Here is a 19,674-nt window from a genome sequence, read left to right as displayed (position 1 = left end):
TTCTCTAGTTCATTGGAAATTTCTGCTTCTTTGAGACTGAGGTTATATTCCACTTCTTCTGACTACACCACCACCATCAATCTCCTTCTCTGAACTCTTGGATCATTACTTCAACCTGAAACAACTCATCAGGTATCTATAAAGGTGGTTATTTGAGTTCCTGTTTTTAGGATTCCAAAATGATGCCAAGATATGTAAAATGAAATGTTAATTGCATTTTTTTTGAGGGGGTTAGAACTATGTAAGTCCCAAAAGAGACAAAGAGTTTAGCTCAAAGCTATCAGATGTTGGAATCAGAAGTTTGGCTTAGGTTAATAAAATGTTTTGCTGTTTAATTTACAAAATTTTTCAAGATCAGGTCCCTGGAGGGAAAATAGCAAAAGGAATTCCTGATAGAGAAAAGTTGCAAACCACTAATTGTGTATAGATTTGGTATTTTGTTATGTGTAGTAAAGTGGTTGAGAGTATGATCTTTGAAGTCAGGCAGACCTGGGTTTGCCACTTTCTATCTGTATAACTCTGTACTTTGCATTATCTTTGGGAGTCTTGGTTTCTCACCTAGAAAGTGAGTCAAGGCAAATAATTTACTCAGCACAATGCCTGCCATATAGTAAATGTTCAGTGTTATCATTATTGTTGTTGCATCTTATTTGCTCTTTTTTGTGGTTTATGTCCTGTGTTAGGCAGAATAGTTGCCTACTGCCCCAACCCCACCAAATGTTCCAGCACCTCTGATATTACCTCACATGGCAAGAGGGCTTTGAAGATGTGATTGAGTCAAGGATCTTGAATGGGGAGATTATCCTGAATTATTCAGCTGGACCCAGTGTAATCACAAAGGTTTTTCAAAGATGGAAGAGAGGCAGAAGAGCCAGAAAAGGATATGTGACAATGGAGTCAGTGTCAGAGTTGGAGTGACGTGATGTGAGAAGGATTCAACCTGCTGTTTCTGGCTTTGAGGATGAAAGAAGGGGCCATGAGCCAAGCAATACAGGTGGCTTCTTTCAAGAAGTTGGAAAAGGTAAGGAAATGGGTTCTCACCTAGAACTGCTGGAAAGCAACCCAGCCCTACTGACACCATGATTTTAGCTCAGTGAGACTCTGTCCAGATTTCTGACCTCTAGAACTATAAGATAATAAATTTGCATTGTTTTAAGCCACTAAGTTTGTGGTAATTTGATAAAGCATCAACAAAAAATGAACACTTCTTCCCAGCAGGACTCCTTTTGAAGACCAGTTCTGTATACATCATCGTATCCAGTGTAAGTACTGGATGTAAATATGGATCAATAATTTGGAATTTACTGAGGTTTCCAGTGGTGAGGCACAATAACTTGTAATTTGCAATTTTTTGTAGTGGAGAAGAGATAACCATGAGTCAGCTCTCTTTCTGCATACACATTTCCATTGCAGCACAAGTTAAAGATACTGGAGAAATTCCCCATCTCACTACCAAGGACAGACCTAACTGACAATAAATTCATCTATAGCCCAGTCAGGGTTTTCCCCTCATTGTCCCTGCCTTCCACAATTGCAGCTAGTTTTCAAAAAGATACATAAAAATAGCTACCATGAATTTAGCACATGGTATGTGCCAGGAGTTATGCTAAATGCTCTGCGTATGTTATCTTACTTAATCCTCCAAAATTTTCCATGGTGGTAAAAATAAATGTTTCTTGTTTTCAAACTTCAGGTCATGACTCTCAGTGGATTTTGAAATCAATTTTGTAGGGAGTGATCAGTAGTTATTAAACAATAAAATAGAATATGAAATATCATTGCATTTCAGGAAGTAAGAGTAGGCATAGCTTCATCAAATTTTGGTTTCAATTATATATATATCTTATCATGTCTATAAAATAAACACATATGTGTATGTACTGGGTTGTGTTACAGAACATATTTCTTACAATGAGTCCTAGTAAAAATTACTTTTTTTTTTTTTTGAGACGGAGTTTTGCTCTTGTTGCCCAGGCTGGAGTGCATTGTGCGATCTCGGCTCACTGCAGCCTCCACCTCCCAGGTTCAAGCGATTCTCCTGCCTCAGCCTCCTGAGTAGCTGGAATTACAGACATGTGCCACCACGCCTAGATAATTTTTTTTTTTTTTTTTTTTGTAGAGACGGGATTTCTCCATGTTGGTCAGGCTGGTCTCGAACTCCTGACCTCAGGTGATCTGCCCACCCCAGCCTCCCAAAGTGCTGGGATTACATGTGTGAGCCACCACACCCAGCCCTTAAAAAATTACTTCTTGGAGTGGGTTGTATTTAAATTTTTTAAAAACCACCAATGAAGTGGTTAAGAATATAGGCTTTAGCAACAGGGCTACCTGAGTTTATTCTCAGTTCTTTATTTTACCAGCTCTGTGATCTTGAGTATATTACTTACTGTTTTTACCTCAGTTACCTCATTTATAGGATCCTATCTCATAGGGACTTTTGAGGAGTAAATGAATTCATTCAAGTTAAGCACTTTGAACAGTGCCTTAGTAATTAACAATTAGCTAATGTTACTTTCCCAATGTTATGTGGGTTAGTAAGTGGTAAAACCTACCAGATTCCCATTCTGTCTGACAAAGTCTAGTCTCTTAGCTACTGTGTGTCGCTGCCTGAGTGTGAAATCTAAAGCAATTTTACAGTAATTTATGTGGCCCCTCAAAACAAACAAATCAACAAAATTAAAAAGTCTCCCTTTATAATAAATGGTACCAGTACATGAAAATACTGGGGATGCCTTTTTCTCAGGGACTTGGCTGATTTGGCATAACCTTATCTCTGAGGGAAAACAAGTTTTGTGACTTGTTCCACTCTGAATTTCAAGAGAGGAATATGTGGAAGGTACTGAGTGCTTTTGACATATAGAGAACAAAGCGATGACTCACTTAAACCCTGATAGTAGGGGCACCATATAAATTATTATATCTAAAGGGAGTCAGGTCAAAGAAGAAATCTTGCAAGAATCTGGAGGGAGATCTGTTGTCTAAAAGCTTATTAGGTGACTAGGGTATCGGTTTTGCTAGTGTTTGTTTTTATCTTGTTTTTTCCCTTCCTCAGTTCCAGCAGGCATTTTAGTGATCTCTTGAAACACGTTTTGACTCTACTTGGTGATTGAAATACACAGCCAGGCTGTGTTGCTTTTATAAGCTCTGAAAGTTTAAGAATTTAGGAAGCTAATGACTGTCTTAAATTACAGTTAAATCTAATTGATAAAATCCTGGGACATTGAACGATTGATTTTAGTATTCAGCTAATAACCCATTTAAAATGAATTCCATACTTCTTTCAACTTGCTTGACTGAAGAGTAATTTTGTCGCTAGTTACTGTATTACTGGAAAATGTATTCCTAGGCTTTAAGATTTGGGAAGCGTGTGAGTCTAACTTCTCAAACAGAATTTGACAAGGACGTAGCAGTGTTTTAAAAAGTCAGGGAAAGGAAAGAGGTGTGTTCAGCATTCCTGCCCCATCTTAACATATTCTTTTTCTCGTCTTAACAGTGGTAATATTTTATGTTATTTTGGTTTGATTTTTGTTTGTGGCATATGGCTCTGCTGTCCTGTGACTCTAAGTAGAAGAGAAAATAGTGCCAATAATTCTTCATGGAGATGCACCTCTCTCAAGTCTTGAACAATGTTTGAGGTAGGTGGTGGCCTAAATGAATGAGCATGTCATGTGTGATTACTTAGTGAGTGTAGTTTTGTAAGGCGCACCAAGGAACTGGTAATTAACTGCTAGGCATGAGATTACCCCAAGATTCTACAAACCCACCTAAGCGTTGTTATATTTGTGAAAAGATTAGAGGAGCTGAACTGTGTATCTTCTTGGTCTCCAGTGGGCAGATACAAGGGGATTGCAGCAAAGATTGGGGAAGTGGCCTCCAAGTATGCATGTGGATGTCCTCTGCTCCTCTGAAACATGACGGATGGCCATTGTCTTTGTTAGAACAAATAAAAAGCAGAAGTATATTTGCCTTTTAGAGAGAGCTCGGTGTTCCTTTTTGCCAAACACAGTACTCTCTCACACCTGCCTTCTGGGGCAGGGATATTTTATTGGACCACAGATATTCTGAGGGGAAAGGAGTTAAAAGTCAGAGCTTGACAAATGCCAGCTCCGGTGCTAATCAGCATTTGTCAAATGCTCTGATTCTAGGCTTTGAAAAGTCTTGAGTTATTAATGAAGTACCCACTATTCACTGAACACTGTGTAAAGTCCCCAAAATGGAAAGAATAATACTTGCTCGTGTCCTTTTGAAGTTCATGTTTATATTGTCTGTTTCCAGGAAAAGTGCTTTCAGCTGGGCTGATGAGAACACCTTGGCACTCTTTCCTGCAATGGGCACTGATTGAGGGTCTTCCTGGTGTGGCATCATCAAATCCCTGTTGCTCAAACCCACTAATTAGCTCATTCTTATCTACAAGTAGCAGGGGCCCTAAAGCTCTCTGAGAAGATCTCATACTGTGTCTCCTACATTTCATCTTCTATAATCTCTTATTCTTAGAGACAGAAAGATGGTTAAAAGACATCACTTCATTTCTTTCTCTGGATTTGGAAAGAGTTATATATTGGGATTATGCTGTTAGTTTACACTTGCATTGTTTAAATTAGAGGAAAGGTTATTTTGTGCAGAACAAATAAAAATTACTCTTTAACTACCTTTCAGAATATCCCAACTTTTAACATAAGCTGTTTTGTAAAGGCTGGTTGTAGTGACTTGCTTCATAATAGACTATTAAAATAAGATGCATTGAAATCTTGTTCTTTTCTTTGCAATACCATGTATCAGCTTTGTTTTGAGAGGCAAACTCAATTTTCCCCTGAAATTAGGAAATTACTGTAAGGGACTGGAATGACACACAAGAAAAGATTACATCATAGCAGGGAGACTAGCCAGTTAGAATGGGGATTTCTTTACAAACACTAGACTGGACTATGGATTATAATTTACCTAGTGTTAATAGTTGCAGTCATACATTAAGGACAATATGTATGTTCTTTAGTTTTTTGTCACTGAGCAGAGGTAGAAACAGGGAAACAACAAAGGCCGAATAATTTCCAGCCATTGCTGCTTTGTTTGCACGGAGCCCTTTGAAATGTGAACTAAGAATATTTCTCAGAAGGTTTTTAGGTGATTCATATACACAGTAAAGTTTCAGAAGTGCTATATTCGAGGGCATATGGAAACCCATGGCTTTTCTGCTAGAGGATTGTCAAAAGTCCAGAATTTCATAACTAAATACCATGAATTTAGTATAGTAGAGCACAGAACTAAAGGCTGTCTTGTGGCTGCAAAGAGTTGACTTCACATAGCATAAACTATAGTCTAAGACAGTGACTTAGACATAAGAGAGAATAGAACTTGGTAACTGGGATTGTTTTACAGCGTGATCATGTATATTTCTATATTATTCTAAAAATATTTATTATATTTATATAAAAATTGTTACAACCGTGTACAAGTGTGCATAAATAAATAGTGTATTTATGTAGTCTTTATTTGAATGTCAGGCCAGTTAGAGAAGCTAGACATGTATAACCAGTTTAGTCTTAACAATCAAGTTCAGAAAATAATATGTAGACTTCCACCTAGTTCCTTTTCTGAATAATATTATAGACTTAAGGAAGCTAATAAGAGTCCAAGATTCTCTGAGTGCCTTTGTGAATTATTTCATCTGATTCATGTATGTACCTTCATATAATGGCTTTTAATATTGAGGAATATTTGGAGATTAAAAGATTAGAGTAATTCTGAGCTCATTAAATTGTAGATTGTCATTTCTTATGAGGATTTACTTTTCTGGTACAACATGTTCTTATCACTAGTTATAATGTATTTTTTTACTTTTGGCTTAGATTTTGAGCCCTCTATTCATGACATATCAAATGTAGTTCTTTAGATATGCTGCTTTCTAATTAGGAAGCAGAATGTGATTGCCTACTATTCTCTAGCCACGTACCTACTAGTGAATATATAAAGGATGGAATTCAGGCCGTGGTTTATGAAATTCAGGCTGTGTTTTTGAGTACTTCCAAGTATGTTTCAAGTAACTTGGTTATGGTTTTGAATGACTAGGAAAATGCTTTGCTTTTTTTGAAAGGGAAATTGTTCAAAAATGAGATTCAATGGAAAACACAGAGGGTGCTAAAAATGCAGAGACATTGTATAAACCTATAAGAAATTTTACATGGAACCAGAATTTTGATGCCCCTTAAAAGGAAACCAATGAGATTCCTTATTCATTAGTACTTTGAAAGTTGGCAGTGGAATGAGGATCTGTGGAGGAAGGGACAGCTGGATCTTGCACTCAGGACTTCTGCCCTCTGCTCCTCAAAGAACTCATTAGTCACTGTTCCCACTCCCACCCTGGCACCAAGGAAAATGTGGATGTTTCCACCTTTCCCACCCAGGCCTATTTAGGGCATACAACCCTTCCTGAATTTCCTGCAGTACAGTTGAGATCACACTGTAGCCTCTAACAAGCATTTACCAGAGATTCAGCGATGACAACAGAGAACTACAATATAATGAGTAACAGATAACCACTCCATAGATGTTGCATGCATTTCCGAGTGTATACAGCCCATTCTCACCTTACAGGAGAACCAGGAAAAGAGAACAATTTGGGAAGGTCTCTTCATTTAATTTTTCCCACACTGCTGCCTCTTCTATCTTTGGCTTGTTTCTTCTTCTCACTTAGGAGGAAGTGGTTCTCAGATAATTGACTAATCACTTCTTCATGGTCGTGAACTCAAGGACTTACCTGTTATGAGGGGAGAAGCATAATAAAGATTACATCATGTGAACTTTTGAAATAAAATGCCCGAAGACATAAGAGAGACCCTTACCACTGTCACACTCAAAAGGAAAGCTTAGTAGCTACAGAGATTTAAAAAGCAAGCAAACAAGCAACCAAGCAAACAACAAAGACCTGAAGAAAATTCCAGAATAATCCTCAACCTGTGCTTTCACATGCTAAATTTTCATAATGAGAAAGATAAACTGTGTATCTTGTGGTGTCAGTGGTCAGTGTGGTGATAGTAGTTGTGGTTTGGGCTGCTTTTTTCCTTGTTTATTTTTTCCAAATTTTATTTGGGAAAATTTCTGCTGTTTCCATTGTGAACTAAAGTTACATATACTGGATGATATAACTTTAACTCCTAAGAGTATGTTTGGCTATGTTTTTGGAATTAGGTATTATGCATGCCACCTTGTGGCCATTATTAAGAAAACACCTAACATGAAGACGAGAAACAGGATCATTAGTGAGAGCAGCTTGAGCTTGGAGCAGTACTTTCCCAAGTCTGTTTCTCCAACAGCATCCTTAGAACCCTTAGAACCTGGATATCACATTTTAGTGGGAGGAGACAGACAATAAATAAAACAAAGTATAGTAAGTGCTCTGGAGAAAAGTAATGCAAAGAAGAGGGCCAGAAAGTATCAAAAAGTTTGAAATTACAAATAAGGTACTCTTGGAAGACCTCACTAAGGTCACATTTGAGCAGAGATCTGAACAGCATGAGAGACAACTGGGGGTGGGGGGGGGCAGAATAATGTTTCAGATATGTACATTGCAACTGCAAAGGCCTGAGACAGGAATTTGCCTGGCCTGTTCCAGCTTAGCAAAGAAAGAGGCCTGTGTTAATGATACTCAGAGAGGAAGGAGGCAATAGTAGAACATGAAGCCAGAAAAGTGACCAGATGCAGGAGTGACTAAGGCTTTGTAGACTGCTGTATAGACTCTGAGGGAAATGAGCAGTCATTGATGGGTTTTTCGCACAGAAGGATCTTGGTGTGTTTTAAAAGGAACATTCTGTATTCTATGTTGAAAACAGACTGAAAAGCACAAGAGAAAGAACAGGAAGAGCAATTAGGAGGCTGTGGTAGATTATTATTCAGCAAATATTCACCCTACTGTCCTCCCCATAAGATTTCCCCAGGCCACCATCACTGGATTTGGCTATTTGACTTGCTGTAGTCAATGGAATGTGAGTGAAAAGTGACTCTGTACCAGTGGGGAGGCAAAGCCTTAAAAGACCCAGCAAATTTCTTCCAGCCCTTTTGTGCTTCTGCCAAAAGAATACTGTGAGCAATCAGTGCCCTTAAGCCTGGGCCTCAGAACGAGAGATATGGAGCAAACCTGAACCTGAACAGCAGCCTACAATCAAGCCAGGATGACCCTGCAAAGCCCAGCCAACGATAGCAAAGCCACAGCAGACTTGTAGACCAATGAGCATGAAATAAATTGCATTGAAAGCTACTGAGATTGGAGGAATAATTTTTATGCAGGATTACTGCAGTGAACCTGATTGATACAGGAGCTACTGCAATAATCCAGGGAAAGAGGGGATGATGAGCTGAAGTAAACTAGGATGGTTGCGATCGGATTAGAGTCTGTATATACATTTGAGGACAAGATTTGAAAGAATTTGCTGATGGTTTAGCTATTAAGTGTGAAAGAGAAATTTTGAAATTTTGGTCCAAACAATGGGAATGATTGAGTTGCCATTTACTGACACGGGGAACATGAAAGAAGGGGCAGGTTTACTTGATTCAGGGCATGCAGAGGAGAGCAGAGTTAAACTTTATATATGTTAAGTTTCATATGCGTCTTATATTTGGAAGTAGAGGTATCTTCCTATATTTGTAAAAAGAGGTATCCAGCAAGTAATTTGACATTTAAAAAAGATTTCTGGAGATCATTTCTGCTCTGGCTATAATGGGATGACAGAGACTACATTTACTGTGTACCTCAAACAAATAGAAAATTGGACAAAACAATGTTTTCAGGCATAATAAACAAATTGAACCTTATTATTACCTCAGCTTGGCTTGCCACCTAGAGGCAGTTTTCGAGCTTTAATAGATGGAGGGTTTATTAGTCTGTTTTCACGCTGCTATAAAGAATGACCTGAAACTGGGTAATTTAAAAAGGAAAGAGGTTTAATTGACTCACAGTTCCTCATGGCTGGGGAGGCCTCAGGAAACTTACAATCATGGTGGAAGGTGAAGGGGAAGCAAGGCATGTCTTTAAGAGGTGGCAGGAGAGAGAGAGAGACAGAGAGAGAGAGAGAGAGACAGAGAGAGCAAAAGTGCAGGGGAAACTGCCGCTTTTAAACCGTCAGATCTCATGAGAACTCCCTCACTATCACAAGAACAGCATAGGGAAAACTGCCCACATGATCCAGTCACCTCCCACCAAGTCCCTTTCTTGACACATGGGGGATTACAATTTGAGATAAGATTTAGGTGGGGACACAGAGCCAAACCATATCAGAGGGAAACCTCGAACAGATCCTGGCAGTCTACCTTAGTGGAGGGATTAGAAATTAGAGTTCATGGAGACTAAAGTGGATAGAGATTTTGGGTGGGGGGGGGGGGTTGGTGAAGAGAGAGAGAGAGAGATAAGAGAGAATATACCCAGAGATCACAAAGGGGTCCCTTGAGCCTTGGTATGTGCATGTGAGAGAGAAAGATACCCCTGGCAGGGGTAAGAACTGCTGGGAGGCAATAAGCCAAATAATTCCTGAAGCTCACTTAAGGCTGGGAAGAGTTTGTGTTCCCATCAGTTAGAGTGGAAAGACCTTATTACACTGTATTATATAGGGGCATTGAATAGAATCCTCAGAAGAATACCTCAGTAGTGAAGTTAGTAGTGAGGCTAAATTAGCCCTGGACTAAAATATACTCTGGATTTCCCTAACAAGCCTCAAAAGAGGTAGACTGCTACTAAGTAACATAACTGCGTGCTAGAACAAAGCCTAAGACTACTAGAAGGGTTACAACAAAATCTACCACCCTATTAAGTGAGGTTTCAATGTCGCAAAGCAATAAAACATTTACCAGACAGTAGAAAGAATAAGAAACCTAACCCATAATCAGAAGAAAAATGTCAATAAATAGAAACAGCACCAGAAATGACAGAGGTGATGTAATGACTAAAATTGTCTATTGTAAATATGCTTCACATCATGAGTAAGGTATAGGGAAGCATGAGCATGATGAAGAGAGATATAGATAATAGAAGAAGACAAATCAAAGTTATAGAGATGAAAAATACAATAGATTCTTCATTTCATCTCTGAAATGAATAGATTGAACGGGATCAACAGCTGATTAGATACTGCAGAAGAAAAGATGAGTGAAATTGAAGGAGCAATAGAATCTATCAAAAATGAAGCTCAGGGAGAAAAATGACTAATAGAAAAATGAACAGAGCATCAGTGACCTCAGGAACAAAGTCAGGAGATCTAATATAATTGGAACCACTGAAGCAAGGTGGAGGAGTGTAAAAAGAGAAGACATAATGGCCAAATGTTTGTCCAACTGTCATGAAAAGTATAAACTCATAGATCCTAGAAACTCAAAGAATCCTAAGACGGAAAAGCATCCTAAGAAAATCACACCAATACACATTGTAATTGAATTTTAGAAAACCAGTTTTGATAAAGAGAAAAATCATAATAGCAGCCAGAGGAAAAAAAAAAGGCACTGTCTCAACAGAAACTTCTCATCAGAAACTACACAAACTGGATGACAGTCCTCCAAGTGTTGAAAGAAAAAAAACCTGTCAATCTAGAATTCTATGTCCAGGTTTTTGATTTTTTAAAAATAAAGGTGAATAAACAATTCTCCAGACAAACAAAAGAGGTAAAATTCATTGTCAGCAAACTAAATATAAGAAATATTAAGGGAAGTTATTCAGGCAGAAGGAAAATGATGCCAGATGGAAACTTGTGTATTCACATAGGAATAAAAAATGCCAGAAATCATAAATATATGGATACATGAAAAATACTTAATTTTCTTAGTTTTTAAGTCTCTTTAACAGATAATTGACTGCTTAAAGCAAAATAGAAATAATGTACTGTTGGCTTTATAACATATATAGAAGTAAGGTATATGATAAGGACACTGTAACTTACCATAGTTGTGTTAAGCAGCTTCTAAGATGCTCCCCAACAGTCTCTGCATTCTACTGTTCAACTCTAATATAGTCTCATCCTGCATGGCATAGGGCCAAACTCTGTAAAGAATAGAATATGGAGAACTGACAATGTATGGATTTTAAGCCTAGGTCAAAAAGATATTGGAGCTTCCAACTTGCTCCTTTTTGCATTGCTCCTCTGAGGAAAACCCAACTGCCATGTCCTGAGGATGCTCACATCTACAGAGAGTTTACATGGAGAGAAACTGAAGTCTCCAGCCAAGACCCAGCATCAACTTCCCAGTTACGTGAGTGAGCCATCTTGGAAGCAAATTTTGCAGCACCAGTAAAGTGTTTAGATAACTGCAACCCCTTTCGACATCTTTTATTTATTTATTATTATTATACTTTCAGTTTTAGGGTACTTGCGCACAATGTGCAGGTTAGTTACATATGTATAGATGTGCCATGTTGTTGTGCTGCACCCAGTAACTCGTCATTTAACATTAGGTATATCTCCTCATGCTATCCTTCCTCCCCACCCCACCCCACAACAGGCTCTGGTGTGTGATGTTCCCCTTCCTGTGTCCATGTGTTCTCATTGTTCAATTCCCACCTGTGAGTGAGAACATGCAGTGTTTGGTTTTTTTGTGCTTGTGATAGTTTGCTGAGAATGATGGTTTCCAGCTTCATCCATGTCCCTACAAAGGATATGAACTCATCATTTTTTATGGCTGCATAGTATTCCATGGTGTATATGTGCCACATTTTCTTAATCCAGTCTATCATCGATGGACATTTGGGTTGGTTCCAAGTCTTTGCTATTGTGAATAGTGCCGCAATAAACTTACCTGTGCCTGTGTCTTTATAGCAGCATGATTTATAATCCTTTGGGTATATACCCAGTAATGGGATGGCTGGGTCAAATGGTATTTCTAGTTCTAGATCCCTGAGGAATTGCCACACTGACTTCCACAATGGTTGAACTAGCTTACAGTCCCACCAACAGTGTAAAAGTGTTCCTATTTCTCCACATCCTCTCCAGCACCTGTTGTTTCCTGACATTTTAATGATTGCTATTCTAACTGGTGTGAGATGGTATCTCATTGTGGTTTTGATTTGCATTTCTCTGATGGCCAGTGATGATGACCATTTTTTCATGTGTCTGTTGGCTGCATAAATATCTTCTTTTGAGAAGTGTCTGTTCATATCCTACGCCCACTTTTTGATGGGGTTGTTTGTTTTTTTCTTGTAAATTTGTTTGAGTTCATTGTAGATTCTGGATATTAGCCCTTTGTCAGATGAGTAGATTGCAAAAATTTTCTCCCATTCTGTAGGTTGCCTGTTCACTCTGATGGTAGTCTCTTTTGCTGTGCAGAAGCTCTTTAGTTTAATTAGATCCCATTTGTCAATTTTGGCTTCTGTTGCCATTGCTTTTGGTGTTTTAGACATGAAGTCCTTGCCCATGCCTGTGTCCTGAATGGTATTGCCTAGGTTTTATTCAAGGGTTTTTATGGTTTTAGGTCTAACATTTAAGTCTTTAATCCATCTTGAATTAATTTTTGTATAAGGTGTAAGGAAGGGATCCAGTTTCAGCTTTCTACATATGGCTGCCAGTTTTCCCAGCACCATTTATTAAAGAGGGAATCCTTTCCCCATTTCTTGTTTTTGTCAGGTTTGTCAAAGATCAGATGGTTGTAGATATGTGGCATTATTTCTGAGGGCTCTGTTCTGTTCCATTGGTCTATATCTCTGTTTTGGTACCAGTACCATGCTGTTTTGGTTACTGTAGCCTTGTAGTATAGTTTGAAGTCAGGTAGTGTGATGCCTCCAGCTTTGTTCTTTTGGCTTAGGATTGACTTGGCAATGTGGGCTCTTTTTTGGTTCCATATGAACTTTAAAGTAGTTTTTTCCAATTCTGTGAAGAAAGGCATTGGTAGCTTGTTGGGGATGGCATTGAATCTATAAATTACTTTGGGCAGTATGGCCATTTTCATGATATTGATTCTTCCTACCCATGAGCATGGAATGCTCTTCCATTTGTTTGTATCCTCTTTTATTTCCTTGAGCAGTGGTTTGTAGTTCTCCTTGAAGAGGTCCTTCACGTCCCTTTTAAGTTGGATTCCTAGGTATTTTATTCTCTTTGAAGCAATTGTGAATGGGAGTTCACTCATGATTTGGCTCTCTGTTTGTCTGTTATTGGTATATAAGAATGCTTGTGATTTTTGCACATTGATTTTGTATCCTGAGACTTTGCTGAAGTTGCCTATCAGCTTAAGGAGATTTCGGGCTGAGACGATGGGGTTTTCTAAATATACAATCATGTCATCTGCAAACAGGGACAATTTGACTTCCTCTTTGCCTAATTGAATACCCTTTATTTCCTTCTCCTGCCTGATTGCCCTGGCCAGAACTTCCAACACTATGTTGAATAGGAGTGGTGAGAGAGGGCATCCCTGTCTTGTGCCAGTTTTCAAAGGGAATGCTTCCAGTTTTTGCCCATTCAGTATGATATTGGCTGTGGGTTTGTCCTAGATAGCTCTTATTATTTTGAGATACGTCCCATCAATACCTAATTTATTGAGAGTTTTTAGCATGAAGGGCTGTTGAATTTTGTTGAAGGCCTTTTCTGCATCTATTGAGATAATCATATGGTTTTTGTCGTTGGTTCTGTTTATATGCTGGATTATGTTTATTGATTTGCATATGTTGAACCAGCCTTGCATCCCAGGGATGAAGCCCACTTGATCATGGTGGATAAGCTTTTTGATGTGCTGCTGGATTTGGTTTGGCAGTATTTTATTGAGGATTTTTGCATGGATGTTCATCAGGGATATTGGTCTAAAATTCTCTTTTTTTGTTGTGTCTCTGGAAGGCTTTGGTATCAGGATGATGCTGGCCTCATAAAATAAGTTAGGGAGTATTCCCTCTTTTTCTATTGATTGGAATCGTTTCAGCAGGAATGGTACCAGCTCCTCCTTGTACCTCTGGTAGAATTCGGCTGTGAATCCATCTGGTCCTGGACTTTTTTTGTTGGTAAACTATTCATTATTGCCTCAATTTCAGAGCCTGTTGTTGGTCTATTCAGGGATTCAACTTCTTCCTGGTTTAGTCTTGGGAGGGTGTATGTGTCGAGGAATTTATCCATTTCTTCTAGGTTTTCTAGTTTATTTGTGTAGAGGTAGTTATAGTATTCTCTGATGGTAGTTTGTATTTCTGAGGGATCGGTGATGATATCCCCTTTATCTATCATTTTTTATTGCATATATTTAATTCTTCTCTCTTTTCTTCTTTATTGGTCTTTCCAGCGGTCTATGAATTTTGTTGATCTCTTAAAAAAACCAGCTCCTGGATTCATTGATCTTTTGAAGGGTTTTTTGTGTCTCTATTTCCTTCAGTTTTGCTCTGATCTTAGTTATTTCTTGCCTTCTGCTAGCTTTTGAATGTGTTTGCTCTTGCTTCTCTAGTTCTTTTAATTGTGATGTTAGGGTGTCAATTTTGGATCTTTCCTGCTTTCTCTTGTGGGCATTTAGTGCTATAAATTTCCCTCTACACACTGCTTTGAATGTCTCCCAGAGATTCTTGTATCTTGTATCTTTGTTCTCGTTGGTTTCAAAGAACATCTGTATTTCTGCCTTCATTTCGTTATGTACCCAGTAGTCATTTAGGAGCAGGCTGTTCAGTTCCCATGTAGTTGAGCAGTTGTGAGTGAGATTCTTAATCCTGAGTTCTAGTTTGATTGCACTGTGGTCTGAGGGACAGTTTGTTATAATTTCTGTTCTTTTACATTTGCTGAGGAGTGCTTTACTTCCAAGTGTGTGGTCAATTTTGGAATAAGTGTGGTGTGGTGCTGAGAAGAATGTATATTCTGTTGATTTGGGATGGAGAGTTCTGTAGATGTCTATTAGGTCCGCTTGGTGCAGAGCTGAGTTCAATTCCTGGATATCCTTGTTAACTTTCTGTCTCGTTGATCTGTCTAATGTTGACAGTGGGGTGTTGAAGTCTCCCATTATTATTGTGTGGGAGTCTTAGTCTCTTTCTAGGTCTCTAAGGACTTGCTGTATGAATCTGGGTGCTCCTGTATTGGGTGCATATATATTTAGGATAGTTAGCTCCTCTTGTTGAATTGATCCCTTTACCATTATGTAATGGCCTTCTTTGTCTCTTCTGATCTTTGTTGGCTTAAAGTCTGTTTTTTCAGAGACTAGGATTGCAACCCCTGCCTTTTTTTGTTTTCCATTTGCTTGGTAGATCTTCCTCCATCCTTTTCTTTTGAGCCTATGTGTGTGTCTGCATGTGAGATGGGTTTCCTGAATGCAGCACACTGATGGGCCTTGACTCTTTATCCAATTTGCCAATGTGTGTGTTTTAAGTGGAGCATTTAGCCCATTTACATGAAAGGTTAGTATTGTTATGTGTGAATTTGATCCTGTCATTATGATGTTAGCTGGTTATTTTGCTCGTTAGTTGATGCAGTTTCTTCCTAGCCTCGATGGTCTTTACAATTTGGCATGTTTTTGCAGTGGCTGTTACCGGTTTTTCCTTTCCATGTTTAGTGCTTCCTTCAGGAGCTCTTTTAGGGCAGGCCTGGTGGTGACAAAATCTCTCAGCATTTGCTTGTCTGTAAAGTATTTTATTTCTCCTTCAGTTATCAAGCTTAGTTTGGCTGGATATGAAATTCTGGGTTGAAAATTCTTTTCTTTAAGAATGTTGAATATTGGCCCCCACTCTCTTCTGGCTTGTAGAGTTTCTGCCGAGAGATCTGCTGTTAGTCTGATGGGCTTCCCTTTGTGGGTAACCCGACCTTTCTCTCTGGCTGCCCTTAACATTTTTTCCTTCATTTCAACTTTGGTGAATCTGACAATTATGTGTCTTGGAGTTGCTCTTCTCGAGGAGTATCTTTGTGGTGTTCTCTATATTTCCTGAATTTGAATGTTGGCCTGCCTTGCTAGATTGGGGAAGTTCTCCTGGATAATATCCTGCAGAGTGTTTTCCAACTTGGTTCCATTCACCCTGTCACTTTCAGGTACACCAGTCAGATGTAGATTTGGTCTTTTCACATAGTCCCATATTTCTTGGAGGCTTTGTTCATTTCTTTTTATTCTTTTTTCTCTAAACTTCTCTTCTCGCTTCATTTCATTAATTCATTTGATCTTCCATCACTGATACCCTTTCTTCCAGTTGATCAAATCAGCTAGTGAGGCTTGTGCATTCATCACGTAGTTCTCGTGCCTTGGTTTTCAGCTCCATCAGGTCCTTTAAGGACTTCTCTGCATTGGTTATTCTAGTTAGCCATTCATCTAATTTTTTTTCAAGGTTTTTGGCTTCTTTGTGATGGTTTCGAACTTCCTCCTTTAGCTCGGAGTAGTTTGATCGTCTGAAGCCTTCTTCTCTCAACTCGTCAAAGTCATTCTCCATCCAGCTTTGTTCCGTTGCTGGTGAGGAGCTGCATTCCTTTGAACGAGGAGAGGCACTCTGATTTTTAGAGTTTCCAGTTTTTCTGCTCGGTTTTTTCCCCATCTTAGTGGTTTTATCTACCTTTGGTCTTTGATAATGGTGACATACAGATGGGGTTTTGGTGTGGATGTCCTTTCTGTTTGTTAGCTTTCCTTCTAACAGTCAGGACCCTCAGGTGCAGGTCTGTTGGAGTTTGCTGGAGGTCCACTCCAGACCCTGTTTGCCTGGGTATCAGCAGCGGAGGCTGCATAACAGCGGGTATTGGTGAACAGCAAATGTTGCTGCCAGATCTTTCCTCTGGAAGTTTTGTCTCAGGGTAGTACCCGGCTGTGTGAGGTGTCAATCTGCCCCTACTGGGGGGTGCCTCCCAGTTAGGGTACTCAGGGGTCAGGGACCCACTTGAGGAGGCAGTCTATCCGTTCTCAGATCTCCAGCTGCATGCTGGGAGAACCATTACTCTCTTCAAAGCTGTCAGACAGGGACATTTAAGTCTGCAGAGGTTTCTGCTGCCTTTTGTTTGGCAATGCCCTGCCCCCAGAGGTGGCATCTACAGAGGCAGGCAGGCCTCCTTGAGCTGCAGTGGGCTCCACCCAGTTCAAGCTTCCTGGCCACTTTGTTTACCTACTCAAGCCTTGGCAATGGTGGGCGCCCCTCCGCCAGCCTCGCTGCCATCTTGCAGTTTGATCTCAGACTGCTGGGCTAGCAATGAGCGAGGCTCCGTGGGCATAGGACCCTCCGAGCCAGGCGTGGGCTATAATCTCCTGGTGTGCCCTTTGCTAAGACTGTTGGAAATGCGCAGTATTAGGGTGGGAGTGACCCGATTTTCCAGGTGCCGTCTGTCACCCCTTTCTTTGACTAGGAAAGGGAATTCCCCGACCCCTTGAACTTCCCGGGTGAGGCAATGCCTCCCCCTACTTCGGCTCACGCTTGGTGTGCTGCACCCACTGTCCTGTACCCACTTTCCGACACTCCCCAGTGAGATGAACCCAGTACCTCAGTTGGAAATGCGGAAATCACCCATCTTCTGCATCACTCATGCTGGGAGCTGTAGACTGGAGCTGTTCCTGTTCAGCCATCTTGGCTCCACCCCCTTTCCACATCTTGACTGCAACTTCATGAGAGACCCTTAGCCAGAACCACCCAGCTAAACCCATCCAGATGCACAGAAACTGTGGGAGATCATAAATGTTTATTGCTGTTTTAAGCTGCTAAGTTTGGGGTATTTTGTTATTCAGCAATAGGTAACTAACACAACAGTCTACCACCAGATGACAAATCATTTCCCACACAGTGAATGAAACCTTCAACAATATACTTCTATTTCACCTCCTGTCCACATATACTACTTTCTTTCTGTGTTTTATTGTGATTCCTAGCTAGTGAAGTTTGGCAAGAAAAAGAAACAAAATACATAGAGAAAAGAAAGTGTTTTTATTTGCAGATAACATGATAATCCACTTTTTAAAAAAACTGAAGAATTACGCTACTGGAACTAATAAGTAAGTTTCACAAGGCTGCAGGATGCAAGGTCAATATTCAGAAATTCATTATATTTCTATATAGTTACAATCGACAATTGGGATTTTACATTAACTTAATAATGCCATTTTTATGGCACTTATCTTGATGGCAATAAAATTTAAAAATTATAGGGATAAATGTCATAAAATATGTATACAATGTGTATACTCAAAAGCACAAAATATACTGAAAGAAATTAGATAAAACTTTAATAAATGGAGATATAAACCTTGTTCACAGCTTGGGAGATTAATTGTTAAAATATCAAATGTCCCCAAACTGATTCCATGTTTATTGAAATCCCGGTAGCTCTTTGGTAAAAATTGACAAATCAACTCAAGAATTTATATGTCAGTCCAAAAGTTCATAAGCTTTGCAACAAGTGTTAGAAAAGAACAAAATTTGAGAACATATATAATATCTGATCTCTAGTTTTTTTTTTTTTTTTTTTTTTTTTTTAAGATGGAGTCTCGCTCTGTCACCCCAGCTGGAGTGTGGTGGCGCGATCTCAGCTCACTGCAAGCTCTGCTTCCCAGTTCACGCCATTCTCCTGCCTCAGCCTCCTGAGTAGCTGGGACTACAGGTGCCCACCACCATGCCTGGCTAATTTTTTGTATTTTTAGTAGAGACGGGGTTTCACTGTGTTAGCCAGGATGGTCTCGATATCTTTACCTCGTGATCCACCTGCCTCAGCCTTGCAAAGTGCTGGGATTACAGGTGTGAGCCACTGTGCCTGGCTGATCTCTACTCTTTTGTAAAGCTGTAGTTATTAAATAGCATGACATTGGCATAGAGAGAGACAAATAGAAAAATAGAAACAAATATAAGTCCCAGAATAGATAGATACACATGTAGTCAATTTATTTTTGACAAAGTTTTTAAGATAATTAATTAGAGGAAAGGATGGTCTTTGCAGTAGGTGCAAAAGGTACTGGAACAATTTGATAGCCATCTGGGCCTTAACCCTTACCATACATACTATAAAAATTAGCTTTAAATGGACTGTACACTATAAAATTATAGAAGAAAGCACAGGCAAATATCTTTGTAACCTTGATTAGGCAGATGCTTCTTAGATAGGACACAAAATGTATGAACCATAGGAAAAATAAATGGTAAAAAAAGAATTAATTGAAATTAAAAATGTTTGTTTCTTAAAACACTGTTAAGAAGAGGAAAAGGCAAACTACAGATAGAAAATATTGGCAAAGCATACATCTGATGAAAGGCTTGTAGCTATAATATAAAAAGAATTCTTACAACTCAATAATAAGAAGATAAAACATCTGATAACAAAAATAGGTGAAAGATTTGTAGGCACTCTACCAAATGAATTATGTGAATGGTAAACAGCATATGAAAAGATGGTCAACATTATTAGTTATTAAGGGAATGCAAATGAATGAATACATAAATTGTACATTCATATGTAAAATTCTACTCAGCAATAAAAAGGAAAGAACTATTGAGAGATGCAATAATGTAGATGAGTCTCAAAAGCATTGTCCTAAGTGAAAGAAGCTATTCTCAAAATACCACAAAATGTGTGATACCTTTTATCTGAGGTTCTACAAAAGACAGAACTCTAATGATAGGAGGAAGATTGTTGGTTACCAGGGACAAAGGGTGGAGAGAAGGGATTGATGGCAAAGGATTGGAATGATGGAAATGTTTTATATCTTGATTTTGGTAGTGGTTACACGACTATATTCGTTTGCCAAAACTCATCAAAGTGTATACTGCAAATTGATGAATTTTGTTGAATGTAAATTATATAG

At 39.0% G+C, this 19,674-nt stretch overlaps 1 long non-coding RNA gene across 1 annotated transcript in view; it reads left to right on the top strand.

Annotated features, from left to right (window-relative positions):
* Window positions 1-8,251, top strand: part of PARAIL (palmitic acid regulated anti-inflammatory lncRNA) — a 40,313-nt gene extending 32,062 nt beyond the window's left edge. Inside the window, exons 2-5 of the long non-coding RNA NR_125822.1 lie at window positions 9-132; window positions 684-1,021; window positions 3,494-3,635; window positions 7,922-8,251. This is a non-coding gene — a long non-coding RNA (palmitic acid regulated anti-inflammatory lncRNA). The remainder of the gene's footprint in view (window positions 1-8; window positions 133-683; window positions 1,022-3,493; window positions 3,636-7,921) is intronic.
* The last annotated feature ends 11,423 nt before the right edge of the window (window positions 8,252-19,674 follow it).

The sequence above is a fragment of the Homo sapiens genome, chromosome 8 (assembly GCF_000001405.40).
Source record: "Homo sapiens chromosome 8, GRCh38.p14 Primary Assembly".
Taxonomy (NCBI): domain Eukaryota; kingdom Metazoa; phylum Chordata; class Mammalia; order Primates; family Hominidae; genus Homo; species Homo sapiens.
This window is presented reverse-complemented; position numbering and strand designations above follow the sequence as displayed.